Genomic DNA, 12,514 nt, shown 5'->3' on the forward strand with positions numbered 1-12,514 from the left:
AGGATGGGAAGCGCTGAGCTTCATGCATAAGAGGAGCTCCACAAATATCAGCTCTAAGCCTAAGGCCTGGTCCCCAGGAGCCTGCCCCGACACTGGGGAGGCAGGAACGAGACTGTGTGGGAACTCAGATGATACAGGGCCACTGGGTGCGTGGTGTGGTCTGGACTGTGGATTCTGTAGGATCTCAGGGCAGGGAAGGGTTGGAAGGTCTCAGGAAGTCTTCATAGGGGAGGAAGGACATGGAGTGTCTCAGAGAATGAACAGGACAAAAGATGGCACTCCAGGAAAGGGGAGCAGCCTGCACAGAGGCTTGGAGAGGAGAATCGCTGGGGAGTGGGGAGAACTGTAAGGAATCTGCTGGCTGCGGTGGATGGGCTGTCGGTGGCTGCCCATGGGAAGGGGAAAAGACTGGCTCTGCAGGGGTACACTAACTCCTGTCAGGGTCACAGGGCCCAGCAAATGTGCCCAAACCTGTGCCCTGGGTGTTTGGTTTCTCCCTCCTGAATATGGAAAAACTAAGCAAACAGGCCAACAAGATTAATCTGCACAGACAGATGCCTCAAAGCGACGTGTGTGAGTGTGTGACCTGAATCATATGTAAATACTTGAAACAAGTGAACAAGAGAAGAATTCTTTGACTGATCCAAGTGACAGGGGTCCTGCAATTTCTGCCTTTCACTTGTGTTTAAAGAACTGAAATTCGGCCTATGCCAGAGAAGAAGGAACTCCTGGTTTTAGCAAAGACCACAATACTAGTACCCAGTATACCTTCAATAAATTCAGGAAGGAAGGAATGAAGGAAAGAAAAAAGGAAGGAAGGAAGGAAGGGAGGGAGGGAGGGAGGGAGGGAGGAAGGGAAGGAGGGAGGGAAAAGCTCTTTAATATTTTTCAAGCACACTCATCTTGTCTGAGAGTTGGAGAATAGTTGTAATTCTCATCAGCTGAAGCTGTTCTCACTGGTGTGTTAATATCAAACTTCAGTAGAAAATGTGGCCTTCCAGGCTAGGAACCTCCAAAGCTAACATTGCCAGGACCTTATTAGGAACATTTGAAACACTGAATTAAATCTTGAAAGAAGGGGAATTGGAGTGGCAGAGCACAGTGGGAAAGCTCTGCAACCCAAAGGAGAAACCCTGCACAGAGCCCCTGGTTTCCTGCCCAGGCCTAGCGAGTGGGATGGACTCTCCTTCCTTGGCCTACAGGAAGTACCCGGGGTTCCCAGGTCCAGCCTGACCATTCCTCAGGGGTCCTGCTTCCTCCCACCCTCCATCCCCAGGAGCCATGCTCCCTGTCTCTGCAGGGTGGAGTAAAGACAGCATCTCGCATTCTACAGGCCCCATCCATCCCTGCTGCAAAATAACACTTTTGACAATGCACAATCCTCAAGCACCTATTGTGTGCCTGCCCCTGTGCTAAACACTTTGCATTCATTACCTCCTCTGCTCCACATGACAACCCTCCTGAGAAGGTATTATTAGCCCTGTTTACAGATGGGGAAACTGAGGTGCAGAGAAGCCCTAGGTCATATCGCTGGAAGAGTCAGAGCAGGACCTCCCAAGCCTGTGCTCTCAACCCGCCTTGTACAAGCATCAGGATTTTTGCTGTATTTATGGTAGACCTGTGGTGTTGTTTACTTAATGTTTTTCTTTAAACAAACTCCCTTTTTTTTTTTTTTTTTTTTTTTTTTGAGATGGAGTCTCGCTCTGTCACCCAGGCTGGAGTGCAGTCGCGCAATCTCCACTCACCGCAAGCTCCGCCTCCCAGGTTCACGCCATTCTCCTGCCTCAGCCTCCTGAGTAGCTGGGACTACAGGCGCCCATCACCACACCCGGCTAATTTTTTTTTTTTTTTTGTATTTTTAATAGAGACGGGGTTTCACCGTGTTAGCCAGGATGGTCTCAATCTCCTGACCTCATGATCCGCCCGCCTCAGCCTCCCAAAGTGCTGGGATTACAGGTGTGAGCCCCCACGCCTGGCCCAAACTCCCTTTATTTTTTAACTTAAATACATTTATTTAAATGAGACAAGTGTATCACTATGGAATGTGTAAAAATAGTATCTATTGTCAAAAGTAAGCCGGAAAGAAAACAGGGAGCACAAGTTGCCAGTGAACACTGTCGCCTGCCAAAGGCGCGCCCTGGTCCTGCTCACTCTGCTCTGCATTCAAAAGGGAGTAAGAGCCAGAGGGTTCCCTGGCACCGAACCCCTCCTTCACAGATTGGCTGGGCACGGTGGCTCACACCTGTCATCCCAAAACCGTGGGAGGCTGAGGCAAGCGGATCACCTGAAGCCAGGAGTTTGGGACCAGGCTGACCAACATGGGGAAACCCCGTCTCTACTAAAAATACAAAAAAAAAATTAGCCGGGTGTGGTGGTGAGCGCCTGTAATCCCAGCTACTCTGGAGGCTGACGCAGGAGAATTGCTTGAACCTGGGAGGCAGAGGCTGCAGTGAACCGAGATCACGCCATTGCACTCCAGACTAGGCAACAAGAGCAAAACTCTATCTCAAAAAAAAAAAAAAAAAGACAGGATTGATGGAGATGCCAGAGGGATCTCTTTCTCACCTGTGACCCAGCACTGTAAGCACCGTGCCTAGACTCCTAATAGCATCCCCCAGGACTCATCCACCTACAGTGCCATTTGGCCACCAGTGGAAAATGTTTCTCCATCCTGTCCTGGAATTCCAGGGTTCAACGCCATGTGTCTACTGCCCAGGCCCTATGGCCAAGTGCTCGATAGTCAGGCTCTCCCTCAAAGTGACCCCAAGGCCCAAGACCACAACCAGTGTCCACGCACACACCCGAATATCATACCCTGAGTCCCCACACATCTGAATGGCACCACCGTCTGCAAAGGGGCCCACACGGGAAAGAAGGAAGCTGTTTCTACCTCTCCCTTCATCCCAGCATCTGCTGATATTCCCTGAAAAAGTGCCAGGCTGTGAGCCAGTTAGGCAGGAATCAGGCATCTCCACCATCCCTGCTCTGATGGAGTTCTCAGTTCAATGACAAATAATGGCAGTGCACCCCAGACAGCTCTAACTGGGCTACAACAAAGGTCTGGAAGACAGACAAGGAAATTGTTGCTTAACTTGCAGGGAAAGGGATTGGAGAGGTTCACAAAGGAGGTGACGCTTACCTAGAGGTTAAGAAAGCCTCTCTCCCAAGGCAGGAGGATCACTTGAAGCCAGGAGTTCAAGACCAGTCTGGGCAACATGATGAGACCCCATCTCTACAAAAAATTAAAAAATAAGCCAGGCATGGTGGCTTTCGCCTGGAGTCCCAGCTACTCAGGAGGCTGAGATGGGAGGATCGCTTGAGCCAAGAAGTTCCAGGCTGCAGTGAGCCGTGATTGTGCCACCGTACTCCAGCCTAGGTGACAGAGAAAGATCCTGTCTCTGAATAAAAAAGAAAAGAAAAGAAAGCCTCTCTCTTCCATCCCCTGGTGACTGTTGATACAGGGCTGTGGATCACTTAGGGATGCCTGGCCCCATTTTGCAAATGAGGAAATAGAGAGCCAGCAGGTTTCAGTAACACAGCGTCACACTGGCCCTCCAGATGAAGCTGAGGTTGAAAGTCAGTTGCCAAATCTGTTTTCTTTCCCAATATTCCACTGTTTCTCAAATGGGCACTCAGCAAATGTTCAATGACTTGAATCAAATTCCTACATCTCCAAACTGGGTGAAAAGCACTTGAATGCAGGAGTCATTTCTTGTACTTCTTTCTCCCCCATCAGCCTCCAGTTCCCCCAGTGCCATGCCCACAGCACTGAGTGTACAGCTCCCTGCAGATCAGAGTTGTTTAATAAAATGAAGGTGTGAGAAGTGTTAAGAGCAGGGTAAAGAACAGGAAGAAGAGGAGGATGCCACAGAATATAGCCCTCGGCTGCCTTCTTGCTGGAGAGACAATGACCAGGACCTGGGGCAGGGGTCACAGGTGGGCATGGGAACCCCTCTAGAAGGTTTCCTGGAAACGGTCATTTTAAAGATAGTTGTGGGCCGGGCACAGTGGCTCACAACTGTAATCCCAGCACTTTGGGAAGCCAAGGTGGGCGGATCACATGAGGCCAGGAGTTTAAGACCAGCCTGGCCAACATGGCGAAACCGTGTCTCTACCAAAAATACAACAACTAGCTGGGTGTGGTGGCGCATGCCTATAATCCCAGCTACTTGGAAGGCTGAAGCATGAGAATCGCTTGAACCCAGGAGGCGGAGGTTGCAGTGAGCCAAGGTTGCACCACTTCACTCCAGACTGGGCAATAGAGTGAGACTCTGTCTCAAATTTAGAAAAATAATAATAACACTAAAGTCGGTTGTGTGTCTTCTGACTGTGGCCAGATAAAGTGGTTCACCCCTGTAATCCCACCACTTTGGGACGCTGAGGCTGGAGGATTGCTTGAACAAAGGAGTTTGAAACCAGCCTGGGCAACATGGTGAGACCCTCATCTCCACAAAAATATTAAAAAATTATCTGGGCATGGTGGTGCGTGCCTATAGTCCCAGCTCCTCAGGAGGCTGAGGTGGGAGTATCGCTTGAGCCCAAGAGTTTAAGGCTGCAACAAGCTATGATTTCACCACTGCACTCCAGCCAGAGTGACAAAGTGAGAGCCCCGTCTCAAAAAAAGAAAAAAATAATAACTGTGCTTTAAGAACTAGATTGGGCTTCTTCAATACTATCCACCTCTACCAGGCCAGTAGCCAGCCACTGGGTTCCCGTTTCAGCACCTCTTTCAGAATCTGGGAGGGAAAAGTCATTGATGCAGAACAATCCCCTTGGGTTTCACGCTGTGGGAGAGAAGCCTTTGCCGAGAACCTTGGTTCCCCCTAGTGGCCATCAGAGGCAGTAGCACCCAGCCAGTATGGAGTCATTTCTTGAAAGCAGGAAGAGAGGCCTCTGGCCAGAGAAGGAGAAAGGTCAAGTCCAGCCAGCCAGGACCTCCGGGCACTGCTCCTGGACCAGTCCCCAGCCTGAGACAGCCCACGGCAGTCAGTGACAGAGGGAGGGTCTGTGCAGACACCCATGGAAAATTCATTAACTCAGAATCTGAATGTTTATGAATGACCTTTTCCCCCAAAGAACTTTCATAACCAATGCTTTCGATATGATCTGGAAGTTGGAAATTAACAACACTACTATTGACACAAAGTGGGCTTTAAAAGTGCTTCTTACAAGATTTTTCTCCATATTCCTGTATCTAAACAATTGATAGTTTTTAATAGCCATCATTGAACCAATAGCAGCCACTTATTAAGGCATTTAGCAGCGTTTGCCATCTCCTTTTGCCATGGAGGTAAGAGGGAAAGTTGTCTGGTTTTTAGAAACAGTGTTTGTTTTGTTTTGTTTTGTTTTGTTTTTTGAGACAGTCTCACTGTGTCTCCAGGCTGGAGTGCAGTGGCGCAATTTCAGCTCACTGCAACCTCTGCCTCCCAGGTTCAAGCCATTCTTCTGCCTCAGCCTCCCCAGTAGCTGGGATTACAGGCACACTCCACCATGCCCAGCTAATTTTTCTATTTTTAGTAGAGACGGGGTTTCACTATGTTCGCCAGGATGGTCTCGATCTCTTGACCTCGTGGTCCACCCACCTTGGCCTCCCAAAATGCTGGGATTACAGACATAAGCCACCACGCCCGACCTAGAAACTGTTTTTGAGGGCAATTTTGGTACTGCTATTCAAGGGCCTGAGCCTCCCTTGAATTTCCCCCAACTCCCTGCAGGCTGGGCAGGAAATATAGTCAGGACCTTGCCCCATCCTCTCTGTCCGAGCCAGGCCCACTCCTTCCTGGTTGAGGAGCTCCCAGGCAGCCCAGTGAGCCCTGGGCTCAGTGAATTGTGCCAGACTTGGGGCAGGGAACATCTCCATGGCAGTGGTGCAGAGTGAACCACCCACAAAACAGCTCCTTGAGGAGAAATTGCCTTTGGAGTTTCAGCTCCTTAACTGCCTGTGCACGGCCCAGAAAACCTGCCAGAGGGTGATCTTCATTGAACTAGAGCAGCAGCAGGAAGGCCTTTGCTGAAGAGGCACAAATAACCCTCGCCAAGGCCCTTCTCAGGACCCTGCTGCTGCTGCTGCTGCTGCTGCAGATTGAGGGAGGAGGCGCCCAGGCACTGGTGATGGGTTTTCGGAAAACAGCTCCCACATCTGTGCCTTACACTAACTGGGGGCCCAACAGCTGGGCTGCTTCCAGAGGCAGGGCCAGGCCAGCAGTAGCAATAAGAAGCTTTAGAGGTGATTCGGTAGACGGCCCAGAATCCTGAATACATGGGGCATGATTGCATGCCAAGCGCTTTCTTTACATGCATTGTGGCATTTAAGCCCCCCAAAACTCCAGTGACAGAGGCTTTTAGGAACCCTATGTGAGAGACGAGGAGACTGTGGCATGGAGACATTAAGGAATTTATTCAAAGAGCGAAGTTGCAGAGGCAGAAGCAAACCCATGTCTATGTGACCACACACGACTCCCAGGTGCCAAACAGGCAGTGTCCACTCTTCTACCTCCAACCTCACCAGCCTTGCCCCTGGTTCATCCCAAAGCCGCTCACCACAGCCAATGCACAACCACATCTGTTCCCATCAGACATGGGTCCCACTTGTTGCCATCCGAAGGGCACAATGTCTCTCTCCATGAAGCTCACCAGTTTGCCCCGTGCAGATGGTGATTGTGATCGTGACTATGACTGTGTTCTTACTCATGGCCGGTGATCTCTCAGCAGCTGCCCTGGGTGAGGGAGGAGATGCAGACAGAACCTCTTTGCCGTACCCTCTGCCTGCCTTGGGTAAGGACTGGACCAGCTACTACTGGAAAAGCACCCCATAGGCCTCATCCTAAAGAAACCCACCCTCATCCACCCTCTTAACAACTGCCACAGGTGGGTTCTGAGCACTTAATACCTTGCCCTCCCCATCCTCAAGTCCTCCAAAAGCTCCTCTTGCTTTCAGGATAAAACCCAAGTTTCTGACCTCACGTAGCAGGTGTCTTATGATCTCACCTTCTCAGCCTCTCCAAGCTCACCTCCGCCCTGCACCCTTCCACCCACTAGTCATGCCAGTCAATGTGCCCTTCCCTGCGACATTGTCCACTGTCACCACTCCAGACATTTACACGCAGGCTTTCCTCTCTTTACAATGCACTTCCTTTCCATGAAGCTGTCTGCTGGGAAAAAGCTATTCAGCTTGCAAACTCTGGCTCAGGGGTTTTTCCCCTGAGAAGGCTTCCGTGGGGTCCCCTCCCCACTAACCTCCAGGCACAGAAAAGGGTTCTCTTCTCCTGGCCGCTCTCCTCAACACCTAGTGCATCCATCTCTGTACTTCGCTCTCACCTCTGTATTTTCAACATTGGTGTACATGCGTTTCCCCTGGTCTGTGAGCTCCTGGAGAGCAGGGCAGTGCTTGAGCAAGTGCTATATTCTGGGACCCTAATCTGGCCTGGACAGTGATTGACACTAAAAGAATTGTGTTGATTGAGTGAGCAGGAAGAGGGCGTTGCAGTGGTCCAAGAAGGGAAGATGTGGGGAGGGTCTGGATGAAGTCAGTGGCACTGGAGGTGGCAACAGAGAGCTGCCCATTTGAATTGTTTCCATGAGGTGGGCATTCTAAGGAGTGTGGTGCCAGAGGCCCATGATAAGCTGGATGCTCAAGGATGAGTGACACGTGGGTGGGTGGACGGATGGAGAGGAGAGGACATCCACTCCACTTAGAGACAGTGATCTGGGGAGACCTTGGCAGCAGAAGGAAGGACAAAGAACATGAGCCCCTTCTGAGGTCCAGCTGTATTCTTGGCATCGTGCAGGCCAGTTACAGTCTCCAATTTCATACACCCAGGAATCATCGATAACCAAAAGTCAGGGGGCAGCAGTCAACTTCTGCTCAGCACTGACACCTTTAAGAAAAATCCATAAACAATCCGCAGACTGGGGAGAAAATTTTCATATCTAGAATATATAAAGAACCCCTACAAATCAATAATAAAAAGACAACCAACCCAATATTTTCAGTGGGAAAAAGATTGGAACAGACACATCACAAAAGAAAATATGTGAATGACCTAGAATTATGTGAAAAATAAGCTCAAAATCATTAGTCATCACAGAAATGCACAATAAAAGCAAAATGAGATACTACTACTCATACCCCAGAGTGGCTAAAATAAAAAAGACTAGCACCAAAGCTTGGCAAGGATGTGGAGCAATTAGAACTCTCCGTATTACTAGTGGGAGTGTAAAATGGTGCACCACTTCAGAAAATGTTTGGCAATTATAAAGTTAAACATACAGCCACCTGCAACCCAACAATTCCACCCCAATTATCAACCCAAGAGAAATGAAGACATTTGCCCACACAGAGCCTTGTACATGAGTGTTTGGAGAAGCTTATTCATTAGAGCCCAACAAGGCAAACAACCCAAGAGTCCATCAGTAAGTGAAGGGGAAACAAAGTGTGCTGTCCATCTATGCAATGAAAAATTAATCAGCAATGAAAGTAATGAACTACTGATACATGCGACAATATGGATGAACCTCAAAAACATTGTTCAGAGTGAAAGAAACAGTATTTATTGTTATATACATAATTCCAATATATAATACCATTTATACAAAATTGAAGAACAGAGCTTACAGGCTGGGCGCAGTGAGATTTACATCTGTAATCTCAGCACTTTGGGAGGCTGAGGCTGGAGGATCACTTGAGCTCAGGAGTTCGAGACCAGCCTGGGCAATATGGTGAGACCCTGTCTCTACAAAAAGTAGTTAGGCATGGTGGCACATACCTGTAGTCCCAGCTACTCAGGAGGCTGAGCACAAGGGATCACTTGAGCCCAGGAGGTTGAGGCTGCAGTGAGCCATGTTCATGCCACTGCACTCCAGCCTGAGCAACAGAGCAAGACCCTGTCTCAAAAAAAAAAAAAAAAAAAAAAAAAAACCACAGGTTTACATATTGGTGGTGGAAATCAGAACAACAGGTGCCTCCACTCCAAGTGTGCAGTAGGAAGTGACTGAGAAGAGCCACGAGGAATTATGGAGGTTCTCTGTATCTTGCTCGGAGGGGTGGTTACACGGGGGGACGCATTTGTCAACAGTCATTGAACTGAACACCTAAGATCTGTGTATCTTGCTATATTTTAATTATCCCTCAATAAAAATTTTTTTAAAAGACCATACAGTCAGACCATCTGGGTTCAAATGCTAGCTACCTCTTACCAGTTTTGTGACCCAGATCATCTCTGAGACTCTATATCCTTGTCTATAAAATGCGAATACTAATGGTTCTTACCTGGCTGCACCACACCTATTAAGTGAGATAGTTAATGTGTGGTAAGAGCAGCTCAGCAGCCTGAGACTTGGCAAAGCATGAAATAAATGTTGATCGAGTAAAATTAGCTTCCCCATGGTCCTGCCATGGAGCAAGTGGAGTGAAGCATAGGCGAGGATGGCCCCAAGGACATGGCGCAGAGGGCAGAGCTGAACCAGGAAGCTGTGACGCCAGCCCGCTCACTGCCCTGAGGGTGAAGTGAGGCCAGAATCCTCGGGAAAAACTGGTGCTGGGAGCCCTGTGTGCCTCCATGGCCCCAGACATAAATAGGGGTTGACATTGTCATTTATGAACAAGTCATGATTTCTGAGCTGCTGGGGGCTGCAAGAAGGAGATGGACGGTTGCTGCCCAGTGATTTGCTGTGGGAGTGCTTGGTAGCTAGAGCAGGCAGCCCAACTCCAACTAAGCCAGGGGACAGACAGACTTGGAAAGTAGATGGAGGGCTGTGTGTGGAAACTGAGGCACGGGCACAGGCCACACATCAGTGTGGAGGTGAAAAAGCTGTCGCTCCACAGCCTCCCTGGAACAGAGCCCAGGGGGTGTGACTGAGCCCACCCCACCTGCCATATGTGCAGGGGCACCCTCCGTGGCTCTGGGTTCCTTACAGACCCTAGAGGCACCCACCTCTGCCGATGTTAGCAGGGATCACCCCTCTGCAGAGCCACAAGGACCACGGTCAGACACCCATGAGCCTGGCTGGTCCCCACCAAGCCTGTTTCGGGGCCCCTTCTCCAAAAATGACACTAATTAATTTGTGATCTCCGGCAGGGGTTCCACTGCACCCTGCATCTGTCAACCTAATTACAAAATAGCTCTTCCAGGCTGACTCACAGCCTTGGGTGATCCCAGCACAGGCACCAACAGCTGGAGGGAACAACAATGACTACAAAAAAAAATAAAAAAGAAAGAAAAATCAAGGCTGCTAATGATGATAATGATAATCATACAAGCCATTATTTATCCAGCTCCCAATGAGGTGCCAGGTACTTTACAGATATTATCCCCAATATTCCCAAAGACTCTAAAGATACCATTAACATAATTTCCCAAACCAGGAAACTAAGGTTCAGAGAGGTTAAGGAATTTGTCTGAAGTCACACAGCCAGTTAACAGCAGACCTAAGCTATAAACCAAGGGATGGCTTACTACAGTGAAGCCCATGTTCTTACAATGCAGTACACTTCCTAAGGAGTTTCTTGCACCCTTTACAGGGACTTCTGTCTCCCCACAACTACATGATGTTGCATCTAATCCCTCAACCCCAATTTCCAGGAACACAGCCTGGAAACTTTATTGTACAGATCAATGCCTAGCTGGACTCCAGTGGTGACCCAGCAAGATCCCACTTCTTAGGGACAGAAACTTGGGTTGGGCACCATTTAAAAGAGAGGCCACGTTTTTTATTTTACTACCTGAGGCCATGAGGCTGCTGTCCTGCAGGAAGATGCCAGGTTCCCCCTAAGGTCTCAAAAGGTACATATGTTCTCCATCACGGCCTCTGCAGCTGAGAGCAGAACACCTTCTGTGCACAGGTCACCTACAATGTACCGGGCACCATGCTAGACACAGGGAGGTGAATAGCCAGGAAAAAAACAGATATGGAAATGGGCAAAGGTAAAAGAGAGAAGGCTGTGAAAAGTGCTCAGGATTCAAGACAAACTGCAGTGGGAGCTCACAAGAAGAAGGGGTTACTTCCAGCTTGGGAGAAGGCTGGGTGCAGGAGGAAGCATTTCAGCTGGGGAAGCAGGTGCACTGTGCACATGAAGGCAGAGGTGCTCGGGGCAGAGGAAACTGCAAGAGCAAAGGCGCCAGGAAAATGGGTCCATCCAAGACATGTGGAGGTGATTCATTCACACACTCAACAAATTCTACATCGAGCACTTGGAGAGCGAAGGACTTGGGAAGGGAGAGTGGATGCAGAGTTCCTGAAGGTCACGCCATATGGCCTCTGGTCCCAGGGCAATAGGGAAATGGGGAGCTATGGAAGGATGTAGAGCAGGTGATGGTGAAGGTGCGGATGTCACATACAAGATCAAGACAAGTGGTTCAAGAAGCTGATGGTGGAGAGGACTGGTTTGGTTAGGATGATGCTGAGCATCAGAAAAAGCCCTGCATCCCACCCGCCCTGAGCAGCCACTTCTCCTGCAACCAGACTAGACCAGTAGACAAGACTAGACCAGACTAGAGAGAGTGGCCCTACCCTCAAGGCAGTGGGATGGGCCGTGTGAGCACTGCCCCTGAGCCTGCACCAGGTTTGAAATTTTCATTTCTTTCCTTTTTTATTTTTTTGGGGGGGCCTTTTTTTAAAGACACAGGGTCTCACTATCTTGCCCAGGCTGGAGTGCAGCAGCACGATCATAGTTCACTGAAGCCTCAACCTCCTAGGCTCAAACAATCCTCCTGCCTCAGCCTACCAAGTAGCTGGGATTACAGGTGTGAGCCACTGTGCCTGACTGAAATCTTCACTTCCTTATTTCTCTAAATGTATCACTTTCTTTCCCCTCTATTCATTTACTTGGCGTTTGCTCATCAGAGAGAAAAATGATCTGCAAACAGAATGGCACAGCGGTGTGTCGTATTTGAGCATTAGGAGAATGAAATGGACTCAAAAAGAAAAGCTAATTTCAAGCAAATGTGGCTTCAGCACACACATATACCCTTTGCAGAGCCTGGTCCTCCCCTGGGTAAACTGGCCCCAGCCTGGGAAGGGGACACCCACAGGAGAGCCACAGGAGGCTCAGAGAGCAGGAAGGGTGTTTGCCAAGCGCTCCCAGGGGGTACAGGAATAGCCCTGTGACCCACGGGGCAGGGAATGATGGGGAAGGGAGGGAGTGGTAGGAGTAGTAGGGGAGGCTGGGAGTCTCCACATTTACTCAGGGCAGCCCTGGCTCCTGCCTCTCCCCAGCCTTCATGATGCTCAAGCCTGGGTGAGCATTCTACTCTTCAGGCAGCTTGCTGACAATGCAGATTCCCAGGCCCCAGACCAGCTGTATCCAAATTTAGGTGCTGCCTAGGAATCTGTATTTTCAACAAGTCTCCCCAGGTCATCCTAAATGCCCATCTCGGTTTGGGAAGTGCACCCCATCCTGCCCTTTCGGCACAGGGACCCACCTTCTCTCTCCCTCTGGGGCCACTTCCAGTACCCCTGCAGGGCCTTCTGACTACAGCCCCCACGGCCTCTTTCTAAAAGTCCTCCTTTAGGGATG

Source organism: Homo sapiens, chromosome 16 (assembly GCF_000001405.40).
Source record: "Homo sapiens chromosome 16, GRCh38.p14 Primary Assembly".
In the NCBI taxonomy this organism is placed as follows: Eukaryota; Metazoa; Chordata; class Mammalia; order Primates; family Hominidae; genus Homo; species Homo sapiens.